Here is a 14,240-nt window from a genome sequence, read left to right on the forward strand (position 1 = left end):
GAAAATGGACAGCTTAGTGCTTGCATGCAGGCTGCAGAACTTAATTGGGCATCTGAGGTTTGTACTCTTCCTGAGACCCATTCCAGGTGGAAACTGGAGGTTAGCATCGTTAACCCAGATTCCCTTTCATCTGGTCTAAATGATGGAAATCAGTAGTTGGTACTGACTGCTACCAGTGGGAGTTCAGGGGCAAGGAAGAGGCTATGCATGTGGAAGCAGTGCCCTGGGCCAAACCACAGGACAGAAAATTGGAACAGAATTACATAAATCAAGGTCAGAAATTTCCTGCCCAACCCATGGGGTGGAGTTTTCTCCCTTCCTATCCATCCTAGCGAATATAAACCCCGACTTGATGTCAGTAACTGGAAGGAGCAGCTGTTAGAATTCTGATTTCAGCTCTCAGCATCCACCATGCATCTCAAGATAGTCCTGGCGTTCCTGGCACTGTCCCTCATTACCATCTTTGCCCTGGCCTATGTTTTGCTGACCAGCCCAGGTGGTTCCAGCCAGCCTCCCCACTGCCCCTCTGTATCCCATAGGGCCCAGCCCTGGCCACACCCTGGCCAGAGCCAGCTGTTTGCAGACCTGAGCCGAGAGGAGTTGACAGCTGTGATGCGCTTTCTGACCCAGCGGCTGGGGCCAGGGCTGGTGGACGCAGCCCAGGCTCAGCCCTCGGACAACTGCATCTTCTCAGTGGAGCTGCAGCTGCCCCCCAAGGCTGCAGCCCTGGCCCACCTGGACAGGGGGAGCCCCCCACCTGCCCGGGAGGCACTGGCCATCGTCCTCTTTGGTGGACAACCCCAACCCAATGTGAGTGAGCTGGTGGTGGGGCCGCTGCCTCACCCCTCGTACATGCGGGATGTGACTGTGGAGCGTCACGGCGGGCCCCTGCCCTATCACCGTCGCCCGGTGCTGAGAGCTGAGTTTACACAGATGTGGAGGCATCTGAAAGAGGTGGAGCTACCCAAGGCACCCATCTTCCTGTCGTCCACCTTCAACTACAATGGCTCTACCCTGGCAGCTGTGCATGCCACCCCTCGGGGCTTGCGCTCAGGGGACCGAGCTACCTGGATGGCCCTCTACCATAACATCTCAGGGGTTGGTCTTTTCCTTCACCCCGTGGGGCTGGAGCTACTACTGGACCACAGGGCCCTGGACCCTGCCCACTGGACTGTCCAGCAGGTCTTCTACCTTGGGCACTACTATGCAGACTTGGGCCAGTTGGAACGGGAGTTTAAGTCTGGCCGGTTGGAAGTGGTTAGAGTCCCTCTACCTCCACCAAATGGAGCTTCATCCCTGAGGTCTCGGAACTCTCCAGGTCCTCTTCCCCCTCTTCAGTTCTCGCCCCAGGGTTCCCAGTACAGTGTGCAAGGAAACCTGGTGGTATCCTCCCTCTGGTCATTTACCTTTGGCCATGGGGTGTTCAGCGGCCTGAGGATTTTTGATGTTCGGTTCCAGGGTGAGCGAATAGCCTATGAAGTCAGTGTCCAGGAGTGTGTATCTATCTATGGTGCCGATTCACCCAAGACGATGCTGACTCGCTATTTGGATAGCAGCTTTGGACTCGGCCGTAACAGCCGAGGCTTGGTGCGGGGAGTGGACTGCCCCTATCAAGCCACGATGGTGGACATCCATATATTAGTGGGCAAAGGGGCAGTCCAGCTGCTTCCAGGGGCTGTGTGTGTATTTGAGGAAGCCCAGGGACTGCCCCTTCGAAGGCACCACAATTACCTTCAAAATCATTTCTATGGTGGTTTGGCCAGCTCAGCCCTTGTGGTCAGGTCTGTGTCATCTGTGGGCAACTATGACTACATTTGGGACTTTGTGTTGTACCCAAATGGGGCACTTGAAGGGCGGGTCCATGCCACGGGTTATATCAACACAGCTTTCCTGAAAGGGGGAGAGGAGGGCCTCCTCTTTGGGAACCGTGTGGGGGAAAGAGTGCTGGGAACGGTGCACACACATGCCTTCCACTTCAAGCTGGACCTGGATGTGGCAGGTGAGTGCTGAGGGGATGAGGATGGAGACTTGGGGGCGGGGTCAGGTGGGGTGGAGGGAAGGGAAGGGAATCTCCCAGGTCAAGCTGAAATAACAAGTGGCAAGAGCAGGGTGTTCCAACACCACAGCTCTAGTGGCAACAGGGCAGGGACTGTTTGAGCATATTCAGTGCAGTGAGTCTGGTACTGGGCTACTGGGTATCTGGTAAAAGGTGAAAAGAGTTCCCCCGCCCAGCCCCTCTGACTTGCTATGATTGTGAAACTAGTTTAAATGTAATGGCTGGGCATGATTGCCTTAGCCTCAAGTGACACTGGGTGGGTGAACTGGCCCAATGGGGCTGGAGTTGGAGCACTTTGCTTCTTCCTAATTCTGAGGGTCAGTAGGGGTGGGGAGGGCAGGGTCCTGAGCCGAGGTCGGAAGAAGTCTGTCCAGAGTCTTCAGGGTGGGGGTCGACCTGGGGCTTAGGAAGGAGAGGGTAGCAAAGCTGGGGTTGCTCCCCAGGATAGGGCCACTCCTCATCGGGAGGGCCATCCCATTCCTGTCATCACAGTTGACTCATGGCAGGCACACAGCTTGCTGCAAGTATGGAAAGAGATTTCTCAAGCACAAAGGGCTCAAAGCACACAGAGGACTTGCTGTTCCTGACAGACTTTGTCAAGGACAGAAAGGAACTTACAGACTCACACACTGATCCACAAAGAAAATTAGAAACTCACCAGACCCTCTCCATTTTAAGGGAAACTAAGGAGGGTGGCGGGAGATGGGACAGGAAATGACTGCCCAAGTATAATGCAACATAAACTAGTATTTCTTGTGAAATGTTTTCTTATCCTCAAGTCTAAAGACATGGCACGTGCGTGCCTGCGTGTGTCTCTGTGCATGCACTTGCACTTGTGTTCGCAGTGGTGTGGAGGGTAGGAAGGACTAATAGCATGATTGAAATGATCATATTAACTAGATTACTCTTTGACATACTTGGATTTTGACTTGTCTTCTGATTGGAAGTTTTTCTTCAGCATCTTTGGCATTAAAGAGGCTTGTTTTGGGAAGTAACATTTATTGGACCCCTAGCGTGTGCAGCATGGGCTGCTGCTGTGGGCCAGAGAGGCTGTGTCAGGCACCAGCTCACAGGATGGCTGCAGAGGCACCAGCTTCAGTGCAGTGCCTCCCGTGCCAGGTACCTTCATATAGGTCTCGTTGAACTTACAGTCCAGACCTGCAGAAAGTGTATGACCAAGTGCTGAGTTAGGCAGTGCAGGTTATGGATGCTGTAGAATTCCAAGGAACTCCCAGACAAAGGTATGAATGTGCTTGCTTCTGAAAAACACTGACAGTACTTCCCACCTTGCTGAGATCAAAAGTGAAGTCTCAGAGCTGGGAGGAGTATGCAGGGGACCATGGGAAGGGATTGGGTTTTCTTTTTTTGAGGCAGTGTCTCACTGTCACCCAGGCTGGAGTGCAGCGGTGCAATCACAGGTTACTGCAGCCCTGACCTCCTGGGCTCAAGCAATCCTCCTGCCTCAGCCTCCTTAGTAGCTGGGATGACAGGCATACACTACCACGCCCAGCTTTTTTTTTTTTTTTGAAGACAGAGTCTCACTCTGTTGCCCAGGCTGGAGCACGGTGGTGCAATCTCAGTTCACCGCAACCTCCACCTCCCAGGTTCAAGCGATTCTTGTGTCTCGGCCTCCAGAGTAGCACACCACCACACCTGGCTAATTTTTTTAAATTATTTATTTATTTAAGTAGAGATGGGGTTTCACCATGTTGGCCAGGCTCATCTTGAACTCCCGGTCTCAAGTGATCCACTCGCCTCGGCTTCCCAAAGTGCTGTGAGCTACCATGCCCGGCCTTTTTTTTTTTTTTTTTTTTTTTTTTAAGAGGCAGTGTTTCATTCCGTTACCCCAGCTGGTGTCCAGCACCTGGGTTCAAGGGATCTGCATCACCCTGCCACCAGCCTCCTGAGTTGCAAGCTGCCACACCCGGCTCAGGAGTCAGTTTTTCAGCTAGCTTCTCCAAGACAAATATCATTATCCCTTTCATAGTTAAAAGAATGTCACTAGTCAGCTGCAAGTGCTTTTCTGTTTATTGGGCACAGCCATAGAACAGCTTTAATTATGCCCAGTGTAGGGATTCAGAAAGTGAATCAGAGAAGCAAATTGGTCCAGGGACTGTTTGGTAGTCCAGTGCTAATAGAACTTTCTGTAGTGATAGAAATATTCCGTATTTGAGCTGTGGCTCTAAACAATAGTCACTAGCCATGTGTGGCAACTGGGCACTTCAAGTGTGGCTAGTGTGACAGAGGAACTGAATATATATATATATATATATACATATATATATATATATATATTTTAGACAGAGTCTTGCTCTGTTGCCCAGGCTAGAGTGCAGTGGTGTGACCTCAGCTCATTGCAGCCACAACCTACTGGGCTCAAGCAATCCTCCTACCCCAGCTTCCCAAGTAACTGGGACCACAGGCATGTACCACCATGCCTGGCTGATTTTTTTATTGTTTGTAGAGTCAGGGTTTCACCACGTTGCACAGGCTGGTCTCAAACTCCTGGGCTCACATGATCCACCCGCCTCAGCCTCCCAAAGTGCTGGGATTGCAGGTGTGAGCCACCTCAGCTGGCCCTAAGTTTTAATTTTCATAGCCACGTGTGGCTAGTGGTTACCCTATCGGATAGGGCAAGTTGGAAGAAGATAGGAGCTTGCTCTTGCCCAGACCTCCTGGCTCCCAGCACAGTGTGCTCTGATGCTCTCTCTGCCTTTTGTCACACCAGTGCAGTGGACATCATGGGGAAGACAGGGACCTGGCCCAGAGACCTTACCTGGTGTGGAACTCATCTCCTTTCCCTCCCCCTGGCAGGGCTGAAAAACTGGGTGGTAGCTGAAGACGTGGTGTTTAAACCTGTGGCTGCCCCCTGGAACCCGGAGCACTGGCTACAGCGCCCACAGCTGACTCGGCAGGTCCTGGGAAAGGAGGACCTGACAGCTTTTTCCTTGGGAAGCCCCCTACCCCGCTACCTCTACCTGGCTAGCAACCAGACTAATGCGTGGGGTCACCAGCGCGGGTACCGAATCCAGATCCACAGCCCCCTTGGCATACACATACCCCTGGAGAGTGACATGGAGAGGGCCCTCAGCTGGGGGAGGTGAGGAGGGCCCTGGCCTGGGTGGAAGGAAAGGACAGCCCCTCCCCTGCCCCAGTCCTTGGAGACAAACTCCCTTCCCACGGCTACCATTCATCCCTGTACCTCCCCTCAAACCCAAGTTAGATACACGGTGGGAAATGGTCTCACACAGAATCGGATCTAAGGGACTCCTGGGCCAGTAAAGGCACTTGACATTTCCCAAAACCACCTTCTTATGATTCCTGGCCAGATACCAGCTTGTGGTGACCCAGAGAAAGGAGGAGGAGTCACAGAGCAGTAGCATCTATCACCAGAATGACATCTGGACACCCACAGTTACCTTTGCTGACTTCATCAACAATGAAACCCTCTTAGGAGAGGTTGGTTGCCCTAGGGACATAGGAAAGGGACACCTGTGGGCATGGCATCTTGGCTGCCCAGCCTCTGGCCAAAGGTTAGAGGGAATGGCTGATTTCCAGTTCGCAGATTCAGAGGCCATGGAGTTTTCTGATGACCAACACAGGTCATCCCTCCTGGGGTGAGATTAGCTCTGGGACACTGGCTCCCCCCTCTCCCCGCACAGCTGCTTACATGGATTGCTCCACGTGTTGTATGGGCATGAGGCTGGGGAGAGTGGAAGCCAGGCTGAGACTGGAGGCTGGGATTGTGACTGAAGGGTGGTTCTTTGGGTCACGCTTCCATAGTCCTCCAGCTCCTCCTTCTTCTTGCAGGATCTGGTGGCTTGGGTCACAGCCAGCTTCCTGCACATTCCCCATGCCGAGGACATCCCAAACACAGTGACTCTGGGGAACAGAGTTGGCTTCTTGCTCCGACCCTATAACTTCTTTGATGAGGACCCCTCCATCTTCTCCCCTGGCAGTGTCTACTTTGAGAAGGGCCAGGATGCTGGGCTCTGCAGCATCAATCCTGTGGCCTGCCTCCCCGACCTGGCAGCCTGTGTCCCGGACTTACCCCCTTTCTCTTACCACGGCTTCTAGTCCTGAGGGTGTGGCGGGCGGCGTGGTTAGGCACATGTACTTTTCCCTGTTTCTACTTTCTATTCTCCGTGTTTTTATCACACCTGCTCCCCAGATTCCCACCCCCTCAATGTTCCTCTCACACGAAACCCCCATCAGTCCCTTTGGTTAATTCTTACTTCCTGTTCATCTCTAAAGTGTTAAATTATAAAAATGATTTTTAAATATTCAAAGAAAAATATCACAAATCCTACTACTCAGAAATAGGTGGTCACATTACATCAGACATCTCTTTATGCATGTGCATTCAAAAGGAAGAGTAGATAGAATTTTGTAAAACAGATGTTGTATGTAATTTATAATAAAAAGTATTAGAGGAATTTTACTTGAATTTATTGTTTGACCTGTTAAGTATCTAGAGTCCTCTGGAGAATACTAAGGAGTCTGGCCAGGGAAATTAGCGCTGGGGGCCAGAGGGCAAGGGGGATAGACCTGGCCAAGGAATGTCATTTGGAAAGCTAAAGGGGCAGGGGGTGGGGGTCTTTGGAAGGAAAACGATAGTTTGAAGTTACAGGAAAATATCTGGCCCTGACTAAGTGGGGGACTGGGGAAGAAGCTGGGCTGAGGTCAGGAGAGGCTGCTCTGCACAGATCCTGCTCCTTCCCAGTGCTGCATTATCTTGAAATTTTCCTTCCCCTTCCCCCTAGCCCCAACTCTCCCCAACTCCAACCCTGACCCAGAAAGTAGAGTGATTTGGAGGCTGGAAGACAAAACCATGTAAGGTCTGTGGAAATCACAGCTGTTCAGACCCGCCTCCAACCCCGGCCACCCCGCCCCCTTGCCCTAGCCTTCCTGTGTCCTTCCCACCCTTAGTCCCAGGCATCTGACTACCGGGAACCTCAGCCAGAGTCCGGGAGCCCCCCACCCCGTCCAGGAGCCAACAGAGCCCCCGTCTTGCTGGCGTGAGAATACATTGCTCTCCTTTGGTTGAATCAGCTGTCCCTCTTCGTGGGAAAATGAACCAGAAGACAATCCTCGTGCTCCTCATTCTGGCCGTCATCACCATCTTTGCCTTGGTTTGTGTCCTGCTGGTGGGCAGGGGTGGAGATGGGGGTGAACCCAGCCAGCTTCCCCATTGCCCCTCTGTATCTCCCAGTGCCCAGCCTTGGACACACCCTGGCCAGAGCCAGCTGTTTGCAGACCTGAGCCGAGAGGAGCTGACGGCTGTGATGCGCTTTCTGACCCAGCGGCTGGGGCCAGGGCTGGTGGATGCAGCCCAGGCCCGGCCCTCGGACAACTGTGTCTTCTCAGTGGAGTTGCAGCTGCCTCCCAAGGCTGCAGCCCTGGCTCACTTGGACAGGGGGAGCCCCCCACCTGCCCGGGAGGCACTGGCCATCGTCTTCTTTGGCAGGCAACCCCAGCCCAACGTGAGTGAGCTGGTGGTGGGGCCACTGCCTCACCCCTCCTACATGCGGGACGTGACTGTGGAGCGTCATGGAGGCCCCCTGCCCTATCACCGACGCCCCGTGCTGTTCCAAGAGTACCTGGACATAGACCAGATGATCTTCAACAGAGAGCTGCCCCAGGCTTCTGGGCTTCTCCACCACTGTTGCTTCTACAAGCACCGGGGACGGAACCTGGTGACAATGACCACGGCTCCCCGTGGTCTGCAATCAGGGGACCGGGCCACCTGGTTTGGCCTCTACTACAACATCTCGGGCGCTGGGTTCTTCCTGCACCACGTGGGCTTGGAGCTGCTAGTGAACCACAAGGCCCTTGACCCTGCCCGCTGGACTATCCAGAAGGTGTTCTATCAAGGCCGCTACTACGACAGCCTGGCCCAGCTGGAGGCCCAGTTTGAGGCCGGCCTGGTGAATGTGGTGCTGATCCCAGACAATGGCACAGGTGGGTCCTGGTCCCTGAAGTCCCCTGTGCCCCCGGGTCCAGCTCCCCCTCTACAGTTCTATCCCCAAGGCCCCCGCTTCAGTGTCCAGGGAAGTCGAGTGGCCTCCTCACTGTGGACTTTCTCCTTTGGCCTCGGAGCATTCAGTGGCCCAAGGATCTTTGACGTTCGCTTCCAAGGAGAAAGACTAGTTTATGAGATAAGCCTCCAAGAGGCCTTGGCCATCTATGGTGGAAATTCCCCAGCAGCAATGACGACCCGCTATGTGGATGGAGGCTTTGGCATGGGCAAGTACACCACGCCCCTGACCCGTGGGGTGGACTGCCCCTACTTGGCCACCTACGTGGACTGGCACTTCCTTTTGGAGTCCCAGGCCCCCAAGACAATACGTGATGCCTTTTGTGTGTTTGAACAGAACCAGGGCCTCCCCCTGCGGCGACACCACTCAGATCTCTACTCGCACTACTTTGGGGGTCTTGCGGAAACGGTGCTGGTCGTCAGATCTATGTCCACCTTGCTCAACTATGACTATGTGTGGGATACGGTCTTCCACCCCAGTGGGGCCATAGAAATACGATTCTATGCCACGGGCTACATCAGCTCGGCATTCCTCTTTGGTGCTACTGGGAAGTACGGGAACCAAGTGTCAGAGCACACCCTGGGCACGGTCCACACCCACAGCGCCCACTTCAAGGTGGATCTGGATGTAGCAGGTAAGACATTTTGGTGGGGAGAAGGCTTCTGGAAGAAGGGCTGAAAAGTTGTTTCCATTAGCTTTGGGTTTTATGTAGATTATCCCAGAAAGGAAGACGTGGATTTTTGTACTTCCCCTTTTGCTGGATGGGAGAGAGTTGGCTGCTGAGTTTTATTTGGATCTTAGCTCACTGGCTGGGTGCAAAGCTGCAGCCTTCCTCTACGTGACCTCATCCAAAGATCTTGGGAAATGGCCGAGCTCAGGGAGGAGGCAGGATTTGGGCTAACAGTGTCCCCATTGCCCTCTTCTCTCCCTTGTACTTATATGGGCTCTGCTGCTGGGAGCAGCCTTCTGTTTGTCAGCTCAGTTCTGTGTCTGGCCTGTGGTGGTGGTGTTTTGGAGGATCTCTTTGCATTCTACCACGTCCCTGGCATGTGCAGGTCAGTCATTCCAGGTTGTACATTTCCTTTGGAGATGGACCCTCCTCCCTGATTTTCCTTCTTTCTCTGGGCACAATTCACCTAAGTGTGAGGGGTCACATGGATCCCGTGGAGCATTCTGGATAGATCCTGGAGTCTGGTCACAGAGAGAGCCAAGGCTACATGATGGCTTGGAGTCTTCATCTTTGTCTTTTCACTGTCTTTCCCCACATTGAGTCAGTCACCAGGTGTTTTTTTTTGGTTTTGTTTTATTTTGTTTTGTTTCTGTTTTGCACCTGCAGTATCTCGGCAGGTCAGACTGTCATGCCGTGCAGGTGCCAGCCCTCTCTCTGCTGTTTTTGCTCTTGTTGCTCTCAGAGCCAAGAGCCACTCTGCACCCAGAGGGCCTCCCATCCACACCAGCCTGCCCTTTACTCAGCTCTCACTTTCGTCATCACCTGTGGGATCCTGTCTGCAGAACCCCCTCAAAACTCTTTCCTTCACGGTGCAGCTCCACCCTGCCTTGCTGTGCTCTGCACAGCTACACCCAAATTCTCCATGTCCCTGGACACGCACTTCACATGTTACAGTCAGGCATCCTCCTGTTTGCTTATGCTTTGTCTCTGCTTAGAATGTCCTTCCATATCATCTTTTCTGGTAATGTCCTTTAAGGCCAGGCTGAAAAGTTGCCCGGAAGGGCCCCCTTTTCCTGCCTGCAACTGTATTCCTGTGATCCGGAAGTTGCCTAGGCCATGCTCCTCTCACAGGACAGGCCAGTCAGTGGTTTGTCTGTCTGCGTGGAAAGCAAGAGGGTAAGGATGATCATTCATCTCTATCCCCAGGGACGAGTACAGTCCTCTCTGCTAATGAATGTTGAAAGAATGAATGAGTGAAATGGAATGAACTCCCTGATGAAGTATTTTAATTTACAGGTCAACAGCTTTGGCTAAAGGATTGGAGGTATCCTGGGGAGAGGGAAGAGAAGGAGGGGCACACTCAGTTCTGGGCTGCTCTTTGGCCCCCACTCTGAAGCCAGATGGGGGCAGAGTCCAGAGGGGCCAGGGCAGTTGCCTGACAGGCCCTCCCCTATCCCACCCTGAGCAGGACTGGAGAACTGGGTCTGGGCCGAGGATATGGTCTTTGTCCCCATGGCTGTGCCCTGGAGCCCTGAGCACCAGCTGCAGAGGCTGCAGGTGACCCGGAAGCTGCTGGAGATGGAGGAGCAGGCCGCCTTCCTCGTGGGAAGCGCCACCCCTCGCTACCTGTACCTGGCCAGCAACCACAGCAACAAGTGGGGTCACCCCCGGGGCTACCGCATCCAGATGCTCAGCTTTGCTGGAGAGCCGCTGCCCCAAAACAGCTCCATGGCGAGAGGCTTCAGCTGGGAGAGGTGAGTGGCGGGCAGTCAGAGAGGAGGGGGGCAGTGAGAGTGGGAAAGGAGTGTTGGCGGACACTCAGCTCACACTGTAGGTGAGGGGAGAGCTCTCTCAGGAAGGCTTTTCTTTTCCTTTTTTTTTTTTTTTTTTGAGATGGAGTTTTGCTCTGTTGCCCAGGCCGGAGTGCAGTGGAGCAATCTCACTGCATCCTCCGCCTCCCAGTTTCAAGCGATTCTCCTGCCTCAGCCTCCCCAGTAGCTGGGATTACAGGTGCACGCCACCACACATGGCTAATTTTTGTATTTTTAGTAGAGATAGGGTTTCACCATGTTGGCCAGGCTGGTCTCGAACTCCTGACCTCATGATCCACCCTCCTTGGTCTCCCAAAGTGCTGTGATTACAGGCATGAGCCACAATGCCTGGCCAAAGGTTTTTCTAGTTATCCAAAGAAACCATGATGGGCACATTTTCCCCTTGGAGGCTAAAGCCCAGGAGTGAGAACTCTCTTCTGTTTTGGATGGGAGAGGGGTTGTACTGTTAAATGGCTGGGGATAAACAGGAGGACTTGACCCCCCTTAGGGTGACGTCGGGGATTCTGTAGCGCCGAGTCAGTTGTGTGACTGCAATTGGGGAAGCTGAGCTCTGAGCACTCAGTTCCCTTTCATCATAATCAGGCAGCAGGATGGGGTCAATGGCCATGGAGGCCTGACCAGTGCCTCCCTAGGTACCAGCTGGCTGTGACCCAGCGGAAGGAGGAGGAGCCCAGTAGCAGCAGCGTTTTCAATCAGAATGACCCTTGGGCCCCCACTGTGGATTTCAGTGACTTCATCAACAATGAGACCATTGCTGGAAAGGTCAGCTGGCCGGGGTAGAGGGTACAGGATGAGCCTTGCTTTCTCTTGGGAGGGTCCCTGAAAACCACCTGCACTTCTCAGGGGTGGTGCTGATTCCTGCCTTCTGCACTTCAGTATATCTGATCATTATCCTTTGAGGGAACCTTCCTGAGCTGGGTGTCCATATGCAGACACTGAGTGAGGCCCTGGGCCTGTCCTTGAGATCTTAGAGCCCTCTTAGTTCCAGTTTCATGGACTGAGTCCTTTCCAGGCTCCAGGACTCAGGAGGGATGGAAGTTACCAGGGAAAATGACATCTCCTGTATCTGAAGCTTCTCCCATTCCTGACTTGATGAATTTCACAATGTTGGCCTGGTTCTGCTTCCCAAGCGCTGGTTCTTTTTCCTCCACCCTTCTTTCCTCAGTTGTGGGGAACTCTTGGAGAGTTAGGGGAAGAGGAGCTGAAGTAGCCTGTGGGTGTCACCCTCTGGGGGTAGATAGGCAATGGGCGATATGATGGGAAATGTCAGAGATGGAGGCTGCAAGCCAGGGACAGGGAAGCAGGTGTTCCTAATATGAAATGGACTACTTATGCTTTGACTCCTACCCAGCAGGAAAAAATGTTTAAAGACTCATGATCCTTGGGCTGGTGAGCTGAATCCCTACCAGGGCATGTCCTCAGCAAAGCCAGACCTCGTGATCCTCTTTCTTCTCCCCTGCTAGGATTTGGTGGCCTGGGTGACAGCTGGTTTTCTGCATATCCCACATGCAGAGGACATTCCTAACACAGTGACTGTGGGGAACGGCGTGGGCTTCTTCCTCCGACCCTATAACTTCTTTGACGAAGACCCCTCCTTCTACTCTGCCGACTCCATCTACTTCCGAGGGGACCAGGATGCTGGGGCCTGCGAGGTCAACCCCCTAGCTTGCCTGCCCCAGGCTGCTGCCTGTGCCCCCGACCTCCCTGCCTTCTCCCACGGGGGCTTCTCTCACAACTAGGCGGTCCTGGGATGGGGCATGTGGCCAAGGGCTCCAGGGCCAGGGTGTGAGGGATGGGGAGCAGCTGGGCACTGGGCCGGCAGCCTGGTTCCCTCTTTCCTGTGCCAGGACTCTCTTTCTTCCACTACCCTCCCTCGCATCCGCCTCTGAGCCAGGAGCCTCCTGACCCTGTGATGCCTGACACAGGGGACACTGAACCTTGTTGATGCCAGCTGTACTGAGTTCTCATCCACAGAGGCCAGGCATGGCCCAGCCTGGAGCCGTGGCCGAGGGCTTCCCTAGATGGTTCCCTTTGTTGCTGTCTGGCTTTCCCGAATCTTTTTAGGCCACCTCCAAGGACTCTAAAAGGGGGCTATTCCCTGGAGACCCCAGAGTAGGGTTGCCAGTCCTGCAAGTCCATAGCTGAGCTGGAAAGGATGCTTCTGCTCACATTCCCTCTCATCCAGGTCCTTTCCTTCTCGTCTTCCTCTCTCTCACCTACTTCCTCCTCCTCCTCCTGTTCCTGCCTTCTCTTCTATCCTGCAATTTCTCCCGAATCCTGAGGGGATATCCCTATGTCCCAGCCCCTGGTACTCCCCCAGCCCTCAGTTTTCAGTCAAGTTCCGTCTCCTCTCCAGCCCTATGGAAGTCTCAAGGTCACGGGACCCCTAATCAGAGTGGCCAATCCCTGTGTGTCGTTCCCTTGTGTCTGTTGCTTATTGGGAGTAGGAGTTGCTCCTACCCCTGTCCTGGGGCTGGGTGTGTTTCAGGACAGCTGCTTCTGTGCATTTGTGTCTGCCTGCCTCATGCTCTCTATAGAGGAGGATGGTCATCGTGACAGCAGCAGCTCAAGTTAGCATTTCAAGTGATTTGGGGGTGCAATGATAATGAAGAATGGCCATTTTGTACCAGGGCTCTGTATTCTGCAACAGCCTGTTTGGGAGGCTGGAGTGGAAACAAAGGGTGGGCATCAAAGATGAGAAGCCAAAGCCCCTACAACTCCAGCCACCCAGCCAGGAGGGGCTGTCCAATCACATTCAGGCATGCGAATGAGCTGGGCCCTGGGTGAGGTGGGGGTCTGGCCTAGTGGGGAGGGGCCTGGCCTGGGTGGGGCAGGGCCTGGCCTGGTCCAGGCTTGGGCTCCATTCCCATCACTGCTGTCCCTCCTGAGGTCTGGATTGGGGATGGGGACAAAGAAATAGCAAGAGATGAGAAACAACAGAAACTTTTTTCTCTAAAGGACTGGTTAAATCAATTCTGATACAGCCTTACAATACAATAGTATGCAGCTAAAAAATAATTGTATGTCTTTATATACTAATATGTAATAATCTTCAGGTGAAAAAGGCAAGCCACAGAAATGTGTATAGCGCACTTCCCATTTGTGTTTCAGAAAGGAGTAGAATATAAACACATAATTGCTTATGTATGCCTATTCAGAATAAATGGGTAACACTGATTACTTTTGGGAGGGGAACCAGTAGGTTGAGGACAGGAGAGGGAAGGGTCTTAACACTTACACCCTTTTGTACATTTTGAATTTTGAACCATGTGACTGTATTACCTATTCAAAATAAACAATAAATGGGCCCAAACAGGAATTGACTTTTTTTTTTTACTGACACTTTTTTTTTTGGTGGGGAACAGGTTGGGGGTAGGGTAAAGTGGGTTAAGGAATGGGACCAGGGATGAAATTTTCTCCAGTTCTTGAGATCCAGAGAAGCAGGTGTGGCCTCTAGTAACTCCTTTTGCCTTCTCATGCTTGTACATCTTTGAGGAAATGTTAAACCTCGGTTAATTCCCTGACACACACACACCCCACCCTTTCCCTCTCTCCTGTCTTCTCTCTCTCTCAATGAGGGGCAATGAGAAGCAGTGAGGAGGGGTGACTTCTGCTTGCCAGAAGCCCAGGCCAGGGCAGGAGGT

General features: G+C 53.2%; 2 protein-coding genes across 12 annotated transcripts; both read left to right on the forward strand.

Annotated features, from left to right (window-relative positions):
• Positions 1–364: 364 nt before the first annotated feature.
• On the forward strand, positions 365–6,492 carry AOC2 (amine oxidase copper containing 2). Of its 2 annotated transcripts, none has more exons than NM_009590.4 (4): positions 365–1,999; positions 4,871–5,156; positions 5,386–5,515; positions 5,867–6,492. In NM_009590.4, exons 1-4 carry the CDS (start codon positions 412–414, stop codon positions 6,131–6,133), a joined length of 2,271 nt encoding a protein of 756 aa, NP_033720.2. In that variant the 5' UTR covers positions 365–411; the 3' UTR covers positions 6,134–6,492. The 2 variants fall into 2 exon arrangements, with proteins under 2 accessions (NP_033720.2, NP_001149.2); NM_001158.5 differs by having other exon boundaries at positions 4,871–5,075.
• Positions 6,493–6,983: 491 nt separating this feature from the next.
• On the forward strand, positions 6,984–13,909 carry AOC3 (amine oxidase copper containing 3). 10 transcript variants are annotated; one of them, XM_011525419.3, is made up of 5 exons: positions 6,984–8,728; positions 9,057–9,149; positions 10,233–10,518; positions 11,229–11,358; positions 12,060–13,909. In XM_011525419.3, the coding sequence occupies exons 1-5, from the start codon at positions 7,129–7,131 to the stop codon at positions 12,333–12,335; spliced, it is 2,385 nt and encodes a 794-aa protein (XP_011523721.1). In that variant the 5' UTR covers positions 6,984–7,128; the 3' UTR covers positions 12,336–13,909. The 10 variants fall into 10 exon arrangements, 8 of the variants coding, with proteins under 8 accessions (XP_011523721.1, XP_011523722.1, NP_003725.1 ...); NR_102422.2 differs by lacking the exon at positions 9,057–9,149 and having other exon boundaries at positions 10,322–10,518; XR_007065520.1 differs by lacking the exons at positions 10,233–10,518; positions 11,229–11,358; positions 12,060–13,909 and adding exons at positions 9,801–9,940; positions 10,061–10,224.
• The last annotated feature ends 331 nt before the right edge of the window (positions 13,910–14,240 follow it).

The sequence above is a fragment of the Homo sapiens genome, chromosome 17 (assembly GCF_000001405.40).
Source record: "Homo sapiens chromosome 17, GRCh38.p14 Primary Assembly".
Taxonomy (NCBI): domain Eukaryota; kingdom Metazoa; phylum Chordata; class Mammalia; order Primates; family Hominidae; genus Homo; species Homo sapiens.

What these genes read in the sequence shown, in the direction of transcription:
- AOC2 (NM_009590.4), top strand. Translation starts at nt 412, where the DNA reads ATGCATCTCAAGATAGTCCTGGCGTTCCTGGCACTGTCCCTCATTACC. An exon ending in GCTGGACCTGGATGTGGCAG is followed by an intron (nt 2,000 to 4,870) that starts GTGAGTGCTGAG and finishes TCCCCCTGGCAG; the next exon opens with GGCTGAAAAACTGGGTGGTA. An exon ending in ATGAAACCCTCTTAGGAGAG is followed by an intron (nt 5,516 to 5,866) that starts GTTGGTTGCCCT and finishes TTCTTCTTGCAG; the next exon opens with GATCTGGTGGCTTGGGTCAC.
- AOC3 (XM_011525419.3), top strand. Translation starts at nt 7,129, where the DNA reads ATGAACCAGAAGACAATCCTCGTGCTCCTCATTCTGGCCGTCATCACC. An exon ending in AGAGGCTTCAGCTGGGAGAG is followed by an intron (nt 10,519 to 11,228) that starts GTGAGTGGCGGG and finishes GTGCCTCCCTAG; the next exon opens with GTACCAGCTGGCTGTGACCC. An exon ending in ATGAGACCATTGCTGGAAAG is followed by an intron (nt 11,359 to 12,059) that starts GTCAGCTGGCCG and finishes CTCCCCTGCTAG; the next exon opens with GATTTGGTGGCCTGGGTGAC.